Source organism: Homo sapiens, chromosome 7, assembly GCF_000001405.40.
Source record: "Homo sapiens chromosome 7, GRCh38.p14 Primary Assembly".
Lineage (NCBI taxonomy): Eukaryota > Metazoa > Chordata > Mammalia > Primates > Hominidae > Homo > Homo sapiens.
In genome coordinates this window covers 48,572,892-48,595,445 of record NC_000007.14, presented here as the reverse complement: position 1 = coordinate 48,595,445, position 22,554 = coordinate 48,572,892, and the positions used below count along the sequence as shown (strand labels likewise).

Sequence of the window (22,554 nt, the reverse complement as noted above, 5' to 3'; positions counted from 1 at the left end):
AAAGACAAAACAAGTCTAAACATTAAAGCCTGGTCTTTATTACATCATTAGAATTTGTATTAGTTAAATCATATTGCTCACTCCCCATAAGTAGGTTTTATGAAATCTATATTTGTAATTCTTTGTGGGCTAGAACAGTGTATTAGAAAGTTAAAAAGAAGCCAATGGTTTTGAAATCTAATTACAAACTTAATTCTGTGATAAAGAAAATGTTAAACCAGATTCAGTAACCTGTTAAGTATTTTAGTTCAGCTAATTCTACCTGCTGAAATAATAGGCCTTGGATGGAAAGGATCTGAAAGATCCCTCAGGAAGACCTGAAAATGGTAGTCTAGCACTCATCCTTGAACAGTAGCAATGGATGAGGCAAGAATATCATCTTTGGACACAGAACACTAGGTTCAAATTCTAGCTCTGCCACCTATTTGCTATGTAAACTTGGTTATATAACGTAATCCCTCATGGCTTCAGTCTCAATTTATACAATGAGGGCTAACAATAATATCACCATTATTGTGTTGTAAAGATTAAGAAATGTCCATGTGTAACACTGTGCAGGTACCTAAATGCACTTCTTAACCTTTGTTACTCAGTCTTATCAGGAAATGGCTACAAGAGAAACTGGAACTCACCTGTGGGAGGTCAGCACCGCAGCACAGCCTTCCCGAACCTCCTTCATTATTGTTTGCCACAGGTACCGCTTAGAGCAGGGATCCATCCCAGAGCTGGGCTCATCCTGAAGGAAAGGCAACACAGAGTAATCAGCATTTGAAAAACACAAATAGAAATATACACAATGACATGGGAGGCCAGACCCCAGGTGAAAGAAAAATCTCTGCTCTGGCTCTAAAAGACACCTCTCCAATTGGCTTTGTTGCACTCTGCTCAACAAAGCCAGAATGATAGGGGAATGTGAGAGAGCAATGAGTGAGGGCCTGACTCCTCCAGCCATGCAGCATGCTACCCAGGAGCCCCACTTCTTTCTCACCTCATCCAGAGAAATTCAAAAAACAGATCAAAATTATAAAAAAAAAGAACCAAATAGAAATACTGGCGCAGAAAAATAAAATGAAATAAAAAATATAATAGAGAAAAGCACATTTGATCAAGCAGATAAAAAAAATCTGTGAACTTGAGGGCAGATTATTTGAAATTATCCAGTCAAGGAAAATTTTAAAAAAGTAAAAAAGAATTAAGAAGAACAAAGAAAGCCTGACAGGGTTTATGGCACATTATCCAGAGACCTAACTTTTACAATATGAGATTTACAAAATAAAAAAGGTGAGAAAAAGGGGCAGCAGAATGCTTATTAAATAAATAATGGCTGAAACATTCCCAAATTTGGATAAAGAGATAGACATTTGAACATCAAGATATATGAAGCTTAAAAGTTCCCAAATAGCTTCAACCCAACAAATTATTCACTGAGATACGCAATAATCAAACTGTCAAAAATGAAAAACAGAATTTTCACAGCAACAAGAGGAAAAAAAAGGCTCATGACATACATCCACAAGGCTATCAGTGGATTTTTCAGAAGAAATCTTCAGGACTGGGAAAGAGTGGGCCTATGAAAGAAAAAAAACCTGCCAAATAAAAATACTTTACCTACTTTACCCAGCAAAGCTGCCCTTCAGAGATAAAAAAGAGATAAAGAATTTCCCAAACAAAAGCTGAAAGAGTTCATTGACACAATACCTGTCTTATAAAAAAAAAAATGCTCCCAAACAAAAGCTGAAAGAGTTCATTGACACAATACCTGTCTTATAAAAAAAAAATGCTAAAGGGGTTCTTCAAAACAAAATAAAAGGATTCTAATTAGCAACATGAAATTATAAAACTCACAGTAAAGTTAAGTATACAGCCACATTCAGCATACTTTAATGCTTTAATGTTGGTGTATAAATCACTTATAATGGTAATATTCAGATTAAAACACAAAGTATTAAAAATAACTATAGCTATAATAATTTTTTAATGGAAATACAATATAAAGAGCTGCAAATTGTGACATCTAAAACATAAAATGAGATGGTTGGAAGCAAAAGTGTAGTTTTTTTTTAATGTGATATAAGTTCAGTTACTATCAGGTTAAAAATAGACTTTTGTAACTATAAGATGTTTTATATAGATTCTTGGTAACCACAAATAAAAAACCTATAGAAGATGCACACACACACACATACACACACACACACACACAAAAGAAAAAAAAACAGAAATGAATCAAAGCATACCAACATACCAACACAAAAAAAAATTATCAAATTAAAAGAAAAGCAGTAATAGAGGAAAAAAAAGAATAAATAACTTTAAAAATAGCCAGAAAACAATTAACAAAATGTCAAGAATATGATCCTACCTATTAATAATTACATTAAATGTAAATAGACAGCATTTGCCAATCAAAAGGCATAAAGTGAATGAATGGATAAAAACCAAGATCCAATCTTATGCTGTTTGCAAGAGACTTAGTACAGTTTTTTTGGATACACATAGACTGAGTGTGAAACAATAGGTAAAGATACTCCAAGCAAATGATGACCCAGAGGGCATGTTTATCTATATTTATGTCACACAAAATATGCTTTAAGTCAAAAACTGTAAAAAGAGAAAAATACAATGATAAAATGGTCAATTTATATAAAATGATAAAAGAGTAATTGTAAATAGATATGCACTAAACATTAGAGTACTATATATGTAATGCAAATATTAACAAAACTGAAAGGAGTAAAAGACATAAGTACAATAATAATAGGGGAGTTCAAGGCTCCACTTTCAATGATACATTGAATAACCAGTCAGAAAATCAATAAGGAAACAATGTACTTGAACTACCCTTTAGACCAAATGGACCTAACAGCCATACACAGAACATTCCATCCAACAATAGCAGAATACACATTCTTCTCCAGAACACATAAAATACTCTCCAGGAGAGACCATATATTAGGCCACAAAACAAGTCTAAACAATTTTAAAAAAATTGAAATCATATCCAGTATCATTTCAGACCACCATGGTATGATACTAGAAATTAATAAGGAGGAAAACTGTAAAATTCACAAATATGTGTAAATTAACAATATGTTCCTGAACAACCAATGGGTCAAAAATGAAATTAAAAAGAAAATTTTAAAAAATACATGTATCTTGAGACAAATGAAAATGGAAACAAAACAAAACTTATGGGATGAAGTAAAAGCAGATTTGAGGAAGAAGTCATCAACATTAAGAAAAAAAGAAAGATTTCAAATAAATATCTTACCTTTGCAATTGAAGAAACTGGATAAAGAAATGAACTAATCCCAAAGTTAGCAGAAATAGAAAAGAATAAAAGGCCATATATCATAAGCCCACAACTAACATCATATTCAACAGTGAAAAGCTAAAAACTTCAAATCTAAGAAGAACAAGACAAGGATGCCCACTCTAGCCACTTCTATTCAACATAATACTAGAAGTCCTAACCAGAGCAATTAGTCAAGACAAAGAAAAGGCATCCAAATCAAAAAAGAAGTAAAATCATCTTTTCAAAAGCATGATCTAACATACAGAAAACACTATAGACTCCACCAAAGAATCCATTAGAATTAATAAACAAATGCAATAAAGTCATATGATACAAAATCAACATACAAATATCAATAGTGCTTCCATAAAATAACAATGGGTTATCAGAAAAGGAAATTTTAGACAATTTCATTTACAATAAGATCAAAATGAATAAAATACTTAGGCATAATTTTAACAAAGGAAGTGAAAGATCTGTATACTGAAAACTATAACATTTTGATTAAAGAAATTGAAGACAAATAAATGGAGAGCTATCCATGTACATGGATTGAAAGAATTAATATTTTTAAATGTCCATATTACCCAAAGCGATCTACAGACTCAGTGCTATTCCTACAATTCCATTGTCATTTTTTCACTGAAATAGAAAACCAAAATACTGAAATTTATATTTAAAAAACCCAAAAGACCACAAATAGCTAAAGAAAGTAAGCAAGAAGAATGGTGCTGGAGGCCTCACATTTCCTATTTTCAAAATATACTACTATGCTATTATAATTTAAAAAGTATGGTACTTGTATAAAAACAGATGTATAGATTCATAGAAAAGAATAGACAGTACAGAAATAAACCCACACACATATAGTCAATTAATCTTTGACAAATACACTGAAATTAAAACTGGGAAAAGGACAGTCTCTTCAATATATGGCTTTGGGAAAACTGAATATCTACATACAAAAAATTAAAACTCGGTCCTTATCTTACACCATACACAAAAATCAACTGAACATGTATTAAAGATTTAAACATAAGATGAGAAACCATGAAACTTGTAGAAAAAAAAAAAGAAGAGCTCCTTGACATTGGTCTTGGCAATGTTTTGCTTGTTTCTTTTTTGGATATGACACCAAAAGCACATAAAATAGAAGCAAACATAAAGTGGGACTATTTCAAACGAAAAGAGTTTCTGCACAAGAAAGGAAAATATCAACAAAGCAGACAAACTACAGCGGGGGATAAAATATTTGCAACCATATATCCAATAAGGGGTTACATCCTATATATGAAAGTCGTAAAACTAAATAGCAAATAATAATAATTAAAAATAGACAAAAAACTTGAACAGACTTTTCTCAAAAGAAGACATGCAAATGGCCAATAGGTATATGAAAAGATGTTCGACATTATTAATAATCAGGGAAATGCAAATGAAAACCACAATGAGATATCATCTTATACTTGTTAGAATGGCTATTGTTAAAAGGACAGAAGATAACCAGCAATGGCAAGGATTCGGAGAAAAGTGAACCCTTATACACAATTGGTGGAAATGTAAATGTACACATATTATGGAAAACAGTGTGGAGGTTCCTCTACAAATTAAAAATACTACTGCCACTGATCCAGTAATCTCACTTCTGTGTGTGTATCCAAAGGAAATAAAATCAATATCTGGAAGGGATATTTGCAGTGCTATATTCATGACAACATTATTTACAGAAGCCAAGATATAGAAACAACCTAAGCATCCCTAAGTGTATAAATGGGAAAAGAAAATGTGTATGTCTCTCTCTCTCTCTTTCTCTCTCTCTCCCTGTTTCCTTGTCTCTCTCTCTCTCCTCTCTCTCACTGTGTGTGTGTGTGTGTGTGTAATGAAATATTATTCTGCCTGAAAAATAAGGAAATCCTTCCATTTTCAACAACATAAGTGAATCTGGAGGACTTTATGCCAAGCATAAAGTGAAATAAGCCATGCATGGAAAAACACTACTTCTTAGTGAAATATTAAAAAGTTGAACACATAGGAAGAGAGAGTAGAAAGGTGCCAGGCTGTGGAAATGGGGAGATACTTGTCAAAGGGCAGAAAATTTCAGTTATACAGGACAAACAAGTTCTGGAGACCTAATATACAGGATATAGGGCTGCTATAGTTTGGATGTTTTGTCCCCTACAGAATTCATGTTAAAACTCAATCCCTAATGAAACAGTATTGAGAGGTGTGACCTTTGGGAGGTGAATGAGTTTATAAGATTAAGTGACCTTATAAAAGGACCTGATGAAGGACATTCACCTCTTTTTGCCCTTCTGACTTTTGCCTTGTGATGACACCTATTCCTCCCCTCTGGAGGGCACAGGTTTCAGGAAGCAGGGTTGGCACCCTCAGCAGACACCTGGACCTGGCAGTGCCTTGATCTTGGACTTCCCAGACTCCAAAACCTGAATTTCTGTTCTCTGTTCTTTATAAATTATCCAGTCTGTTATAGCAGCACAGTGAACTAAGAGAGGGACTGTAGATAACGATGCTGTATTACATATTTGAAATTTGCTAAGAGGGTAGATATTAAGTGTTCTCATCACATACAGGGGAAAAAATGGCAATTATGTGATGTCATCAATATGTTTATTAGTTTGATTGTAGTCAACACATCAGAATATTTATGTATATCAAAACACATGTTGAATTCATTAAATAGATACCATTTTTATCAGTTAATTATACTTCCATAAAACTGAGAGGAGGGGAATTGGGCTATATTTTCATGTCAGGTTGGTTCTCCTCCATGATCTGGCTAGGTAAGCCAACCCTGATGTTTCTAAAATGAATTTTCAACCTCCATAAAATTTCGGAATGATATCCCCTAGGAAGACATATGATAGCAGAAAAAGGCTTCATTTATTTAGCAACATCAAATAAATTAATATTTCTTAGAACTTGAAGCTTTCTCCTTCAATAGACACCAAAGTATTCCTTATATGAACCACTTCTAGAGAAATCTCGCCAAACTGTAAGATGTATTTCTGTGCTTTTATTAGCCAGGGAGTACTAAACACATATTTCTTAAGAGCTTAGGTTCATAAACTTCCATAAAGAAAGAAACAGATGGGAAGCAGTAAGTGTAGGGGGAGAAGCACTGAACAGGAAAATAAATATCTAGTCTTTTCTGCAAATCAAGCAATATATGTGTATTAGTTATAAAAATAAGTAAATAAAAGGTGTGATCATGCAATGCTCATTATGAGAGTTGTATGTGTAATTTACGTTTTCCTGATTCCCTCCTTGATGTCAGCTCTGAGAATCACTTCTAGTCTCTCTGTTGAGAACTCCAAAGGCCTGGCAACAAATCTCTTTAACCTATTGCTCTGAACAGTAACCATCATCATAGTCACGAATATTTACTGTGGTTTACCATCTGCTAGACACTGGGCTATATGCTTAATGTAGTTTATTTTATTTACTGCTTTCAATGACTCCATGAGACAGACACTATTATCAGGAAAATTTTCAGATGAGAAGGAAACAGGCATAGAACATACAAGGCCAAGTGTTGGGCAGCTGCAGAAGCAAAATTCAAAGCTTGTCAGTCAGACTCCAGAGTCCCCACCTTGACCACTCTGTCACAGGTTTGGGCATCCAAGGAAAGCTGAGAGCAAGGATGTATCAAAGAAAAGCATGTCAGGGTCTGCAGTGAGCAGGTCATGGCTACAGAGCAGAGGCCCCTTCATTCAACTAAGGAGATGCATTGTAAGAGGCTGGGCAAAGGGAAATTCCACAGAAAGTAATGAATGCCCACGTCTTGTTAACTACTCAACATAATCCTGCCTCATGTTGAAAATAAAATGTAATTTGTAAACTTCAGGATTGTGCAAATGGTAGTTTTTATTATCAGATTCTGGAATATGAAACTATACAATAGTCTAGGAATTTGGACATTGCAAAAGCAAATTTATGGTACCTAAAAAGAATATTCAGGTGAGTTTCCAGGAGACAACCAGCAAACGATGAGACCATTTTCCCACACAGACCTTCTCAATCCCCATTTACTACCCCACTAAAAGGGTGTATTCATTTGATGAAGAAAGATAGAAAAAAAGGAATCTGTTTTGTTTTCCACACTTTTTGACACCCCTCAGACTCTCTACTGGTGTGAAGTCCAAAGATGCACTCTACTGATTAGAATCCAATTTATGGCATGTAACAATAGCCTTTATTTATTCTTTCAATGGCATTACTTGTATTAACAGTTATAGCTGTTTTATGAAATGCAAGATAATTAACTCCATTTCTTGACAATTGTTGCCTCCAATTAATGCTTTGATTCATTCAAATCAAATTAACTGCAGTTCCCAGATTGATTATAGACCACCCTGTCTCAAGACCATTGCATATACTCTACCCTCTTGCTGGAGTTTTCTTCCCTACTCTCAACATCATATCCATCCTTCACTCTCAACACCCATCTTTAAGATTCACCATGACAGGTGTCACTACTGCTGTGATAAACATACATCTACACACAGAAAAAGACATAAAAGCAATATTCTAGAGGAAAACATAATTGGTTTTCAGATTACAGATGAATTCTAATAATCTTTTAAAACACTGTTTTAATGTTAAAATTTTATAGAATTTTCAGCTTGACAAATATAAGTGAATCTAGCAAAAAATAAATGTTTTATTTCTGTAAAATACAAATGACATTTGGGAAATGCTGGCTTATGGCAAAACAGTTTACTAGTTTGTAGAACCAGCTTTGCAAGTTCTGAAGTTACTTCCCAGAAAAACCCTTAAAATCAGTTTATAAATCAATATGCAATATGTATCTTACTCCAAGATATTGACATTCTTCTACTCACCAATAAAAGAATGTCAGGTTTCCCCACCAGGGCCAGGGCTGTAGAGAGTTTCCGCTTGGTTCCCCCACTGTAGGTGGCCACAGGTTTGTCCGCGTGGGCTTCGAGGTGTAAGCGCCTGATGAGGTCTCCAGCAACCTGGAAGAGAGGCATGTCCATGTGCACACCAGCATTCACCAAAGTGCCCACCAGACAGCTGGTCTCAGTCCTCATTCCTGCTTCTACCTCCCACTAACCCTGCCGACCTTCACACATACAATCAAGTACATCTCCTGAAACATCCCCCTTTACCATACAGGCAGTAATTGAGAGTGAACAGGTGGGAGTTTTCTGCAGCTGGAGACATCTAAGTGATGGTCAGAATAATCACATCTAGAGTTCAGGGAGAAGGGTGGGCAAGAAACACACTCAAGGTTGGGGGTCCAGATAAATAAGCATGTTGAGGTGAGCAGAGAAGGGTATGCCAAAAAGAAAACTGAGAAGGAAACAAATGGGAATGAAACTAATAGCGGTGTCAAAACTTAAAGGGAGAAGACAACCGAAGCAGAAAATTTTCTTTATTATTTTAGATTCAGGGAGTCTATGTGCAGGTTTGCTACATGGGTATATTGTGTGACACTGAGGTTTGGGCTTCTAATGATCCCACCCAAGTAGTGAGCATGGAACCCAACAGGTAGTTCTTCACCCCTTGTCACACGCCCTCCCTCCGCACTTTTGGATTCCCACGTGTCTACTGCTGCCATGTTTGTGCCCATGTGTACCCAATGTTAAGCTCCCCCCTATAAACGAGAACACACGGTATTTGGTTTTGTGTTCCTGTGTTAATTTGCTTAGGATGATGCCTCCAGCTGCATCCATGCTGCTGCAAAGGATGTGATTTTGTTCATTTTTATGGCTGGAGGGAATTTTCAATATTAACACAAGGAAAGAAATATCCCTTTGACATTGAGAAGCCACTGTTAATGTTTGCAAACTCAGAGTTTGGTTTATAAAGTAACTAGAGATGGGGAGGAGAATGGGAAATATTTCTTATTTGCAACTGCTGAAAACCACTTTGCCAAGACCCAAGGATGGTGGCAGCATTTGTCAAACCTCACCCCTCCAGCCACAGGAGAGTTCAGACTGTACCCAAGAGCCTGCGGTTCACAGCTTCTTTCTTCTTCCCTGCCTTCCACCCTGCCAGCTTGTCCCACATCCTAGAAGGCCCAGCCCATATCTCTCATCAGAAAAAATAATTGTCACTTCTTCTGTGTGATATATGTGTCACCTCTTCTGTGTATTATATGTGTCTATAGAACACTTTTATTTAGCATTTCCCACTGTAATTTGTACCACACTATATTTTCTGTTTCCAGTTCTATCTCCTATGCTGGATTAATTCTTCCTGGGGTCCAAGGTAAGCAATTTTTTTGTTTCCAACTTAGCATAATTTAAAAATTTTCCAAACAATTTTATTTAACTCTTATGACCATAGAAGTATTAATATAGATTCATTTTTTAGATATAATCATATAGCCAAATTGACCAAGATCATATTTTAATTCAAATTTAGGAGAAGAGGGAAAAATTCTATAGGACTAAAAAGATTGGTTAATAATTGTGCATCCCAAATAACTGAATAAATATAAACTAATGTGTATACTCTTTTTGACAAGTACATAAAAGTTAGGATAATAACAATAATGATAATGAAGCATTAAGAACCTCTACAAATATTAGGATAATCATTATGCCCCCCAGTAAAATCTTTCAACAGAAATTATTATATGGCTTTACTTGTGCAACTTCAAAATATGTTGCAAATGAATGAAGAGGCTCAAGGACTGGTCTTATGGTAAAATAGTATAATTCTAGGAAATGCAGATTTCAAGGCCTAAAAGATATATAAAGATGAAATATTTAATCTCCTGCTATCTGCCTAAGAAAATCTTCTCAAGGCCAGTAGTTGGTCTTATTGAAAGTAAAGTCATTTTCCCCAGAATGTTTTATATGAATCATCCTTTTTCCTGGCTCCATTCAGAACAACTATTTTAATTATCACAAGTTGAATAAAAATTCACTTAAGTGAATTTTAAAATATCAAAACAAAACGTTTTATTCATCACAAGCAAACAAACACAAATATTAAAGGAAGGGTCTTATAAATGAAGAAATATAAATGCCTGGCATTTCAGGAATTAAAGAGATAGCAGAAGTAGTCATGTAGCTTCGTCCAAATTTTTCTCACAGAAGAATGGCCAAGAAGTGTAAATCAGTGCTAGATAAACACTCATATGAGAGATGAAGGAAGGAAACCAGGGAGGCTTCCTGGAAAAGGAGGCAGATGTCCCCATAAAAGAGAAGAAAACTAAGAGCATGATAGACCCTGTTAGAAAGCTTTATCTGTCGGAAAAAAGTCCTTACTTAATGTCATCTATATGTTCTTGGAGACCGCTTTAACCGAATCAACATTTAATGAAACCAATTTTACCATAAGCTGATTGGTAGAAATAAAAGTTCCTATGTCATATGTCTGGTCACAAAAACATCTCCAAACTTCTAAATAAAAAAAAACTTCTAATAGCAAACACTGAAATAAATGTGAGCTACACATATATTTGTGAAAGATTAACAAAAACATGATTTACCCAATTATTCCAGTTCAGGGTTGAGGGTGGTCAGAGCCCATCCTGGAAGCTCAGTGCACAAGGCAGGAACCAGCCCTGGACAGCATGCCATTCCATCGAGGGTACACTCACACGCCCACATATACTCACCCACATGGGCTCAATATAGACACACCAAAGAAACTAATGTACACAGCTTTGGGACATGACAGAAAACAAGTGTACCTGGAGAAAATGTATGCAGCCATGGAGAGAGCGTGCAAACTCCTCTCCGACAGTGGTCCTGGCAGAAAATCAATTTTACTTTTCTCATCATTGTAATGAAACAATGTTGAACTAAACAATGTTATTTGGGGACCTGCTGTACTAACAGTGGTGAGGCTGGCAAAAATGACAAATTGTGATAATGATTGTTTTGGTTATTTTTAGATCTATAAATATTACAAGAAAAAGAGAATGAAAATGTGTGTATGTGTGCATGTATTAGAAAGAAATGTTTAGTTACTCTCATCCATGTTATTCAAAGATTAGCCATACATAAAAGAAAACTGATAAACTGACAAATGAAATAAAAATAATAATATATGTACCTGGTTCTGGAGAAATGCACCTGAGAATGCAAGTTACATTTTGAATAAACTTGCCAAATTATTATTGCATATTTTTATGAAGTTAGGAAACATATGTCATGTTTTCCCAATTTCACAAAAGGTTAAATATTGCAGCCTGCAAATTCTGGATTGGTTAACCATAGGAAAGATTCCAGAGTATACAGGAACAAATGTATTAGTTTGATCCAATGTTTTCTGAATGTCATGTTGTCAGAAAATAACTGAAAATAGCCTAATAAGAAGTATTTTGCTGTAGTCTTTTCTGCACTCAGCAATACTGTCAAAGTAATGGCAAAAGCAATGCCTTAGCAATCTCAGTTGGCAAAATACTGCCTAAAATCCCAAAATGTCAAAAGTTCACAGAATCTCTCTCTGAGGTTTGGTATTTTTCTCTCATGAAGCTCTAGAAATTGTACCATACTTCAGGCAAGTTACTGGGATGCATTTGTTTTGGGATGCTTTCGTTTGCGGATGCATTGGTTTTGGGATGAATCTCAATGGGATATGCACTGGGATGGAAATCCCCAGTGTTTATTCATGTTTGGCACATAGTAGGACTTCCATAAACATCACTGGAGCCAAAATAAATTGCCCTGAGATTCACACATACATCTATCAGACTCCAAAGCCAAAGTGTTTCCACTAGCACACATAATGGCCAGGTCAACATTTCTGTGAGATTAAAGACCAAAATGAGTCGTAAAGTAGGGAAAGGGAACCAAGGATTTCAGATGGAAATGTTTATCCTGGCCCTTCCTCTGAAGATGACCTCCTGTCCCCATTCCTACTATCTTATAAATTCTAGCTCCTTCTAGCTAAACTGACTGTGTGAATGGAAGAAAACTTAAATATAAAAGTCATGTCTTTACAGAAGATAAGGGGAAGCAAGACACAGTAGGGACAGTCCCTGGTAGGAATGTGCAGGTATTAACAAAACTAAGATGATGAGGGGCCATACCTCTTCTATACCAGGGAAAACTAAAACACAGAATTTGCCAAATCTCTTCCCATTTAGAAGTACTGGTTGTTTGTTATGGTATGACACTAACATTGAAACTACCTAGCATGATGAACTCTGACACATTTTCTCTAGCATCCCAGACTATGTAGCCCTCATCTCTTGCATCATTTGGTAATAACCAAGTGATATAACTTAATATAACATGCTTTACAAGGTTAATTAAATTGAGGCTCAAATATGTACACTGCACAGTTTTGTGCAGTGTAAATCATGGGAAATTTGGAAATCATTGTTAACTTGTCAAACCTAAGTTCAAGCTTTATGAAGTGGCATCTTATTCTTACCTCATCAAACTTTTGAAAGGTTGAGGAAGTGAGCAATTTGACCATACTTAGAAATGACCAGCAAGTGGAGCACAGGTGGACTGGCTCAGCCATGGCATGGGCTCTGAGGGTCCCCGGGAGGGAGGAGAGGGGACTGTAAGGCTGAACAAAGGAGCCTCCCCGCAAGCACAGAGGGTCTTGCACTAGAATCATAGAGCTTACAATGGTGGCTCTCCATGTTACAATGAAAATAGATGGCAGCCTGAAGAAAACAACTAAGGTGAGCAGCAGATGTGTCTAAAGATTACCCCCATATCTATGAGTTCTGAAAGCCTGGAGGTGAGGCACACATGTTGAGTCCAACTCCAGACCAATGGAAAGCCAGGCAGCAGGAGGAGCCCCATGTTAGAGAAGTCATGCACTAACCCCACACAGTTTCCACTTCTTTGGCCATCCCAGGGTTATAAAAATAAGACTGAACTGTTAATACCACCAGAAATTCCATCTTATACAACTAACAGCCTGAATAAACTAAGTGTCAGAGTAATGTCTTAGTCAAGAACTTGTACCCTGGAGCTGGTTTATATGGTTTCAAAGTAAAACCTTGCCAAATACTAGCCATGTGAACATGGGCAAGTGGCCTAATTTCTCTGGTGTCTCAGTTTTCCTGTGTCTCTGTGTCTCAATTAAACTGTGTCTAATTTCTCAGTTTGTAAAATGGGAATAAGCATCTACTTCATATGGTTGCTGTAAAATACTTAGAACAGTACCTGATGTGGAATAAATACTGAAAGATAAAACTTTATTTTCCATTATTTTATAATAATTCTTTCTGGACATCTTGTGATAAGCACCTCAAAATGGATATGCCTGTTCTATAACTTAAATATTCCCAAAATATATAGAAAAGAAAATTTGTTTCCAGAAAAGGAGCTAACTCCTTTGGAAACAGATGCAAAAGTGTGCAGACATCTTAGAAACAAGAGCAAGTAGCAATACTGTCTGCAAAATCAGTTACAGTTTTATAAAGGAAATGAAGGCAGTTCCTAATTGGTTACCATTTAAATAACTTTTATTGGTAGAACAATTCAGAAAAACAAAGTTGTAAGACAGATGAATATCAAGACACAATTGCCCTGAATGACAGAAAGCACCGACCTACATTAACGAGAGCTTTTTCATAAGCATGTTTCCCTCGAAAAACAAAAGTGCCAGCTTAAAGCCTTTGCCAAGCACCCGCCTCTTTCATCAAAAACTAACAAAGAGGAGCTGACAGAGATAAACACCGATTAAAAATTGATCCAACAATTAGCCACGGATGCCAATAACTGTTTAACTACAACCAGCAGGTCTCTGTGGGGTGGTCAGTTATCTTTGCTTTATTAAGACGGGAGATGGGAAAAGGGGCCAGAGTCCTTACAATGAGGTGCAGACATTCTGTTTAGTTTCACTTAAAGTTAGAAAGCATAAATAAGAAACAAATGCTGAAGCATTATAAAAACAGAACAGAGAATGAACGTTCATGGACCAGTGAAGGCGAAGGCTATTAGTTTTGTCTCCTGTGAGTCCTAGAATTTTCCCTCTCCCGCAGAATCTAATTGCAAACGCATAATATAAGCCACTTATTTCTGCTTCTAGTTCAGAATCCAGAAATCTGAGGAGCACGCACCCCAGACTTTCTATAATGAGGTGCAGAAAAGGTAAAAATGTGCTTAAGTAACTGCAATTTTGGTGGCTCACGGTACAACATCCTGAGCTGTCAATCAAGGCTGTCCGCTCTGCTTCGCTGACCTCTACTCACACAGAAGAAGTGGCAGCTGTCTTTTGCTCTCTCACTGCTCCACCTGCCTCTCTCCTGTCACAGGCAGTGATGGAGGTGGGGGTCTCAGTTTCTGCCACTCCTTCATTCCCCTAAGACCACCCAGAAAGGAATCCCCTGGCAGAAGGAATCCCCTGGCAGGAGGAATCTGTCCGCCCACTCATCAGGAAGTCATTCCTTCCAGCAGTCCCCCAGATTCCACACATAATTTGTGCCCACACTTTCACAAGCCCTGAAAATACAGAGTTTGTGATATTTCTTCCTGAATACAAGTTTGTAGTTCAATAAATGTAAAAGGCATTTAGAGAGGAAGAAAAGAGCAAGGGGGATACAAAGTTATAAATGATGTATTTATGCTTTAACTCCGACCACATGACTGCCTCACACAGATACCTTTTAAATATATAATGTAAAATAAGGGAAATATATTTAATGTTTTCTTCAGTATAATCATATTAGAAAATCTCTTGCAGGTAAGTTTATCTGATACTACAGTTCCTTCTCCTCATAGGGTGAGAGAGCTGCCTTGGAGCCAGAGGTGGTCACCAAGCATTCCTCAATGGGTCCCTTTATCTAGAAGACCCCAGGGAGATTTACCTCAGGGATGCACTGCCTTGGAATCCCGCGTAAGCTACAGTAATAATAGAGATGTTCCCAACCAGTCAGAAGCTCGTCCAGGGCATCCTGCTGGGGACAGTAGCCAATGAGCACGCCTGCCGTGCCAGCAGAAGACAGGTCCACGGCGTCTCTGCAGAGAGAAGCAGCACAGGCTGAGAACAGCAGTTTCCCAAACTGGCACCAACCCATTTTTAAAATGTGGCTCATCAATAACAAGTCCACTGCAGTTTATTTAAAACAATTAGTTCATTTCACAATAATAGGTTCATTTCATGAGACGTGAAGAATACAAGAAGTCACCCCAAAATAGGCCTCTTTGGCATATGGATTATTTTGAGCTAAAGGCAACTGAGAACCAGAGGACAAAGGAAAAGCTCTTTATCTCTCCTTAACTGCCTAAAAATTCAGTATAAATGTCTTCTTTTGAAAAGGAAATTCACATTTACAAAGGAAATTTTCATTTGTAAAGATGTCTCCCTACCAGAAAGAGAGCTACTTTCCCAGAAAACTCTGAACTGGAGAGACTCTTATCTGCATAATGAGACAACCCTAGTCCACCATACATTTCCTCCCCTCACCTTCCCATAGCTGGCCTCCCCTGCCCAGAATCCCCAAATCCCTTTTGCTTTGTTTAGCCTTATATGGTACATAAGCCTCAATCATCTGGGCAGCTCCTTGAGTCTTATTTTTTGTGTGAAACTCCTGTGTCTACATACATAATCAAACTGTTTTTTTATTAATATGTATTGCTGAATCAGGTGGGAAGACTATATTTAGTTTTATAAGATTCTGCCAAACTGTCTGCCAAAGTGGTTGTACCATTTTGAATTCCCATCAGCAGCAAATGAGAGTTCCTATTGCTCTACACTGTTGTCAACATTTGGTATTGTCAGTGTTTTGTATTTTACTCATTCTATTAGCTATATAGATGCATTGCATTGTTGCTTTTATTTGCAATTTTCCAATGACATATGATGTTGAGCATCTTATGAACTTATTTGCATCTGTCTTCTTTGGTGATACATCTGTTCATATCTTTCACCCATGTTTTAACTCTGTGTTTTCTTATTGTTTAATTTTAAGGATTCTTTATGTATTTCATATACAAGTCTTTTATGAGACATGGGTCTGCAAAATTTTTTCCCAGTCTATGGATTGACTTTTTAATGTCTTAACAGTGTCTTTTGCAGGAGCAGAAATGTACTTTAATGAAGTCAAACTTACCAACATTTTCTTTTATGGATCATGCTTTTGATATTGTCTCTAAAAAGGCATTGTCACATCCAAGGTCACCTAGATTTTATCCTATGTTATTTTCTAGAACTTTTATAATTTGTATTTTACAATCAGGTCATAGATCCACTTGGAGTTAATTTTTGTCACAGGTATAAGTTAAGTGCCCAGATTCATTGTCTGGCATGTGGATGTCCATTTGTTCTGGCACCATTTGTTGCAAAGATGATTATTTGCCCACATGGTTGCCTTTGTTCTTTTGTCATATATCAGTTGACTGTATTGATGTGGGGCTATCTCTGGGAATTACTGTGCTTTTATAGTAAATCTTAAAGTCAGGTAATGTCAGTCTTCAGACTTTGTTCTTCCATACTGTGTTGCCTATCATGGATCTTTTGTCTTTCCACATAAACTTGAAAATCAGTTTGTTAATATCCACAAAGTAACACTGGGATTTTGATTGGGGTTGTGTTAAACCTAACATTCAGGTTGGGAAGAACCAATATCTTGTTGATGTTAAGTTTTTCTACCCCAAAACATGGAATATCTATTTATTTAGAGCTTTTTCTATTTATTTCATTAGGATTTTGTAGTTTTCCTCACATAATTTGTTAGATTTATAGCTAAGTATTTCATTTTGGGGATTGTTAATGTAAATGATATGTTTTTAAAATTTCAAATTCCAATTATTCATTGTAGATATATAGGGAAACATGACTTTTCTATATTAACGTTGTATCCTGAAACCTTGATATAAATGGCTATTAGTTCTAGGAGTATTTTTTTGACAATTCTTTGGGAGTTTCTACATATATAATCATGTCATCTATAAGCAATAACAGTTTTATTTATTCCTTCACAATCTGTGTGATTTTAACTCCCTTTTCTGCTCTTATTGCATTACGTAGGACTGCTTGCTGGCAGAGTATTGAGGTAAGAATGGAGAGAGAGGACATCTTGTTCCCAAACTTAGGAGAAAGGTAGCTAGCTTCTCATGATTTAGTATATCACTTGAAGGTTTATTACAGTGTTCTTTATCAAGTTGAGGAATGTCCTTTCTGTTCCTAGTTTGCTGAGAGTTAGTATCATGAATAAGTGTTGGCTTTTGTGAAAAATGTTGTTATGCATCTGTTAATAGGATCAAACCATCTTTTCCTTTTATTCTATTGTTGTAATGGATTATATTAATTGATTTTCAAAAATTGAACGAACCTTGCCTATCTGGAATAAGTCCTTCTTTGTCATAGTATATAATTCTTTTCGTACATTGTTAGACTCAATTTGATACTTTGTTGAAAATTTTTGCATGTATATTCATAAGAGATACTAGGCTATAGTTTTCCTTTCTTGTAATGCCCTTGTCTGGTTTCAGTATTATGATAATGCTGGCCTCATAAAAACAGTTAACCATAATTGTTCTGTATCTATTTTCTAAAAGACATTGCAGTAAATTGATATCATTTCTTTCTTAAATGGTAGAATTCACCAGTGAGATCACCTAAGTCTAGTGCTTTTGCTTTTATGGTCATTAGTTATTGATTCAATTTCTTTCAATGATATATACCTATTTGGATTGTCTATTTCTCCTTGTATGTGTTTGGGTAAATTGTGTCTTCAGGGAATTGGCCCATTTCAAGTAAGTTATCAAAGATGTGGGCATAGAGTTGCTCAAAATATTTCCTTATTAATATTTTAATGTTCATGAGAGTAGTAAGGATAACATCTTTGGTTTTTGATATTAGTAATTTGTATTTTCTTTTTTTCATGGATAATCTCACTAGGAGTTTATCAATTTTATTTATTTCATCTTTTAATTCATTGATTTCAGCTTTTAGTTTCATTGATTTTTCTTTATTATTTTCCTTTTTATAATTTTATTGATTTCTCCACTAATTTTTATCATTTCTTTTCTTCTACTTACTTTCAATTTAATTTGCTCCTCTCCCTCTAGTTTAGTAACATATAAGCTTAGATTATCTATTTTAGGTCTCTAATCTTTTCTAACAGATGCATCAAATTCCATGAATTTTCCTTTAAGCACAACTTTTGCTGTATTCCACAAACTGTGATAGGTTTAAATTTCATTTTCATTGAAGCTTAATTTTTGTAATTTCTTTTCTGATTCCTTTAACGTGTGTGTTACCCAGAAATAGGTTATTTAATGTCCAAATATTTGGGGATTTCTAAAGCTATCCTTCTATTTTTTATTTCTAGTTTAATTCCATTGTGGTTTGACAGCATAGTTTGGATGATGTCTATTTCTTTATTGTTAAGCTGTTATTTGGGCTTTTAGTGTGAGGTTTGAGTTTATCTGACTAGAAGTTATATTGTGCTTACTGGTGGCTGTCTCAGTGGTGTTAGTTCTAGTGTCCTTCTGTTTATACCCAGTTGTCTTTGGGTTTGCCTAGAGATTCCATCTTAAATAGAGTCTGAGGCTTGTAGTTCTCTTAGTCCCTGGTTATTACACAGGAGCACCACTGATGTGGTGGTGAGGAGTTGGTTGAGGGGAAGAGTTCTATATTCCCACAATCATGTCTCAGTCTTCTAGAGCCTGAGCTGGGCATTTCCCTTTTCCCAGGTCAGTTAGGCTCTGGAAAAGCAGTTTCCCCTTTGGGCTGGTCTTTCTAATGCTTACAGAGGTCTGGGCATACTTCTATATAATTAACTCCTGCTGAAAGCACGAAAGGATTTTTCCCCTGTCTTCACATGGAGAATCTGGTAGGGTTCCTGTAGGTAATACTCATCAGTGAGGAGCCCCCAAGGCTACTTTCAAGTTAGTCCACACTGAGCCTACATCACTTTTTGATTATAGCGGATGTGTTCCTACTGATCCTGGCCTCATATGGTGACTTCTGCTTCTGGGTCTCCTGATTCACAGTCCTGGGCTTCCTTCTAGTACAGTCGTTTTTCTATATCCATGGGGGGTGGGTCTAGGACTCCCTTTGGATACTAAAAATCCACAGATGCTCAAGTCCTTTATATAAAATACTGTAGAATTTGCTTATAACCTACATACATCTTCCCAAATACTTTAAATCATTTCTAGATGACTTATAATACCTAATGCAATGTAAATGCTATATAAACGGTGGTTATGCTGTATTTTTTAGGGAATACTAACAACAGGAAAAGTCTGTACATGTTCAGTACCGGCAGAATCATCCCTTTTTTTCTGAATATTTTGTGGCACAGTTAGTTGAATCCATGGATATGAACCCATGGGTGTAGGGGGTCCCCTGACTGTCTCTCTAGTACTGGGGTAGCAGTTTGCTTTCTGACCTCAAATCTCTGAGGGATCTAAGAAGAGTTGATAATTTTTAGTTTTTAAGGTATTTTCCTGTTGTGAAAATGAAAGTGACAACTTGCAAGCTCTTTAAATGTTGTACCAAAAGCCACAACTCAGTACCTTTTTCAGTAGAGTTTTTGTTTCATTTTTTCATGTTCCACATCTCTGACCCACAGGAAAAGCTATAAATTTTAAATGTATCTCTCCATCCTCTACATTGTATACCATTCTCTTACTCATCATGTCAATGGCTTCTAATCTACACAGTAGAACAATTTCTCAAGTTTATCACTGGCAGCGCTAATTTAATATTCCGCACTTTTAATTCTGTTGTATGTGATAAATATAAGAGAAAACAGAATTTAAGATCTACTGGGTACTTAATTTCCTTTACATTAGTTTCTATTACATCCATATTCTCCTATCTTTCAAATTCAGCTAGCACATTTATCATGAAAGTTTCCACACTTATGTCATAAAATTTTAACCTTTAAGTCTTTAGAGTATCAACTTTTAAAAAACCATTCCCTTATATTTAAATAATAAAAATATCCATGTATAATTTTTAGTTAGAATCTTTCCATAGTGCTCCAATCAGCTTTTGTACCATAATTATTCTGGTGTATTATTGTTTATGCATTCTTCTAAAGAGAGCAAGATTGCCAGAAAAAAATACAAAATATCCACTTAAGTTTATAGTTCAGATAGACAATGAATAAATGTTAAGTCTAAGTATGTACCATAAAATGTTTACATGTGTTATGCAAAAAAAAAATGTCTACTGGAAACTCAAGTTTCAAGTATTTTCTGGATAGGGGAATATTTATAAATGTTAATGTATATATTACCTGTGGCTTCAAATATACCATCCATGTGCTATATTATCCTTTTGCTTTATTATCAAAATTGATGCTAAAATGGGAGTTGTTTTCAATAGCCCATAAAACAATGGAACAGCTGGATAAAATGCAGAAAAATCTATTTAAAGACTAGGAATTAAAGATTCAAATCCCAAAAAGAAGAAACTCACTGAGAGGAGACATGTGTTTTGTTTGTTTTTCCTCGAAATATTAGTCACACATATAAAATGAGGAAGAAGAAGTAATGATGTTGTGGAGAAAGTGATGGCTAAAAGGCAGAGGAGCTAAGCAAAGCTGTTATTAGTCTTTGGAAGAGATAAAAATTGAGATTCAGGGCTACCAGAGCAGACAGGACTTGAGAGGCCAATATCCCAGGGGGAAGAAAGTAAGAAAAACCCTGTAACTCTAGGTGTCTCATGCTTGAGATGTTCATTAATGTATGAGTAATGCAGGTCTATAATTGAAGAGGGAAATCAAGACACAAATCTAAGAATCTAAAAAGTAACTAAACCTATCAAATTTATAACAAACCTGGAATAACCAGCTGGGATAACAGAAACTGTCATTAAGCAGACATTCAGGTGTTGGGACTCTGGCAAATGAACGTGGCTTTCAGTCAGGGCCATTGAACAGTGAAGCCTCCGGAAATGTAAAAATAGACAAGCCCTTTAAAAAACGTATTTAGTAAGATCATCCCATTTTCTGAGATAATTTTATCTATTCTAATTCCATATCAAAGCTAAAGAGAATTCTCTTTGAAGTAAAACAGAATCATCCAGAGACTCTAAATATTTTCATTTAATCAAAATTTATCAGTTGTTATGGGTTGAATCGTGTCCCATCCAAAATAATAGTAATAATAATAATAATATTGGGGTCCTAACTCCCCATGCCTTGGAATATGACCTTATTTGAAGATAAAATGTCACAGAGAAAATCAAATCCAAATGAGGCTACTATGGTGGGCTTTAATCTGGTATGACTGATGTCCTTAAAAAAAGGAAAATGTGGACACAGACACATATATAGAGGGAAGACTATATAAACACACAGAGAGAAGATGGTCCTTTATAAGCCAAGGAGACAGGGCTGTAGCAGATCCCTTCCCCACAGCAATCAGAAGGAACTAATGGCAACAGCTTGATCTCGGAGTTCAAGCCTCTAGAACCATGAGAGAATAAATTTTCCTGGTTTAAGCCACTAAGTTTGTGTTCTGTTGTTGTTCTTGTTGTTGTTGCTTTGAGATGGAGTCTCACTCTGTAGCTGAGCTTGGAGTGCAGTGGTACAATCATAGCTTACTGCAGCCTCGAACTCCTGGGCTCCAGCAATCCTCCCACCTCAGCCTCCCAAGTAGCTCAGACTACATATATGCACCATCAGGCCTGGCTAATTAAATGTTTTGTTGTTGCTGTTGTTGTTTTGTTTTGTTTTGTTTCTGTTTTGTGGAGATGGAGTCTCGCTATGTTGCCCAGGCTGGTCTCAAACTCCTAGCCTCAAATGATCCTCCCATCTTAACCTCCCAGAGCACTGGGATTACAAGCATGAGCCACTGCACCCAGACAGTGGTATATTTTTACAGTAGTCCTAGAAAATGAATACACCAGGAATACCACTTAAAAAAATAAATAAATAAGATAAAAAACAAATAAAATAAAAATAAACCCACAAGTGATATAGATATTGGAGTTATCAGACATAGACTTTAACATAGTTTAATTAATAAATGAACAAAAAAGAGGAAAAAGAGGTGAATTATACTAGAAAATTGAAATCTGTTTAAAAAATCAAATAAAAATTTTATAACTGGAAAGTTATAATAAGCAAAATTAAGACAGTAACAGAGTACTTTAAACATAGTAATGAATAGAAACATTAATATAATTTGATACAAAATACCAGTATCAGGAATACTAACATCACTTAAGATAGATATTAAAAATAAAATTTTAGTATATTATGCACCAAATTTCTGCATAGAAATGGAATAATTTAGATGGAATAGAAAAATCCCTTAAAACATAATAAACCAAGAAAAGGAAGAAATAGAAAGCCTAAAAATTTCTACATGTAAAACGAAATTGAA

General features: G+C 35.7%; 1 protein-coding gene across 11 annotated transcripts in view; it reads right to left on the bottom strand.

Moving 5' to 3' along the window:
• ABCA13 (ATP binding cassette subfamily A member 13) overlaps nt 1-22,554 on the bottom strand; it is a 476,040-nt gene that overhangs the window by 52,052 nt on the left and 401,434 nt on the right. For 10 of the 11 annotated variants that reach the window (XR_926914.3, XR_926915.3, XM_011515130.3 and 7 more), the window contains 3 exons: nt 15,072-15,222; nt 8,158-8,292; nt 633-736 (listed from right to left, as the gene is read on the bottom strand). Coding sequence is in view for 9 of the 11 variants with exons in the window: in XM_011515130.3 (XP_011513432.1) it covers nt 633-736; nt 8,158-8,292; nt 15,072-15,222 (390 nt within the window). In the remaining 2 variants the exon portion in view is untranslated. The remainder of the gene's footprint in view (nt 1-632; nt 737-8,157; nt 8,293-15,071; nt 15,223-22,554) is intronic. The other variant, XM_047419919.1, reaches the window with a different exon arrangement.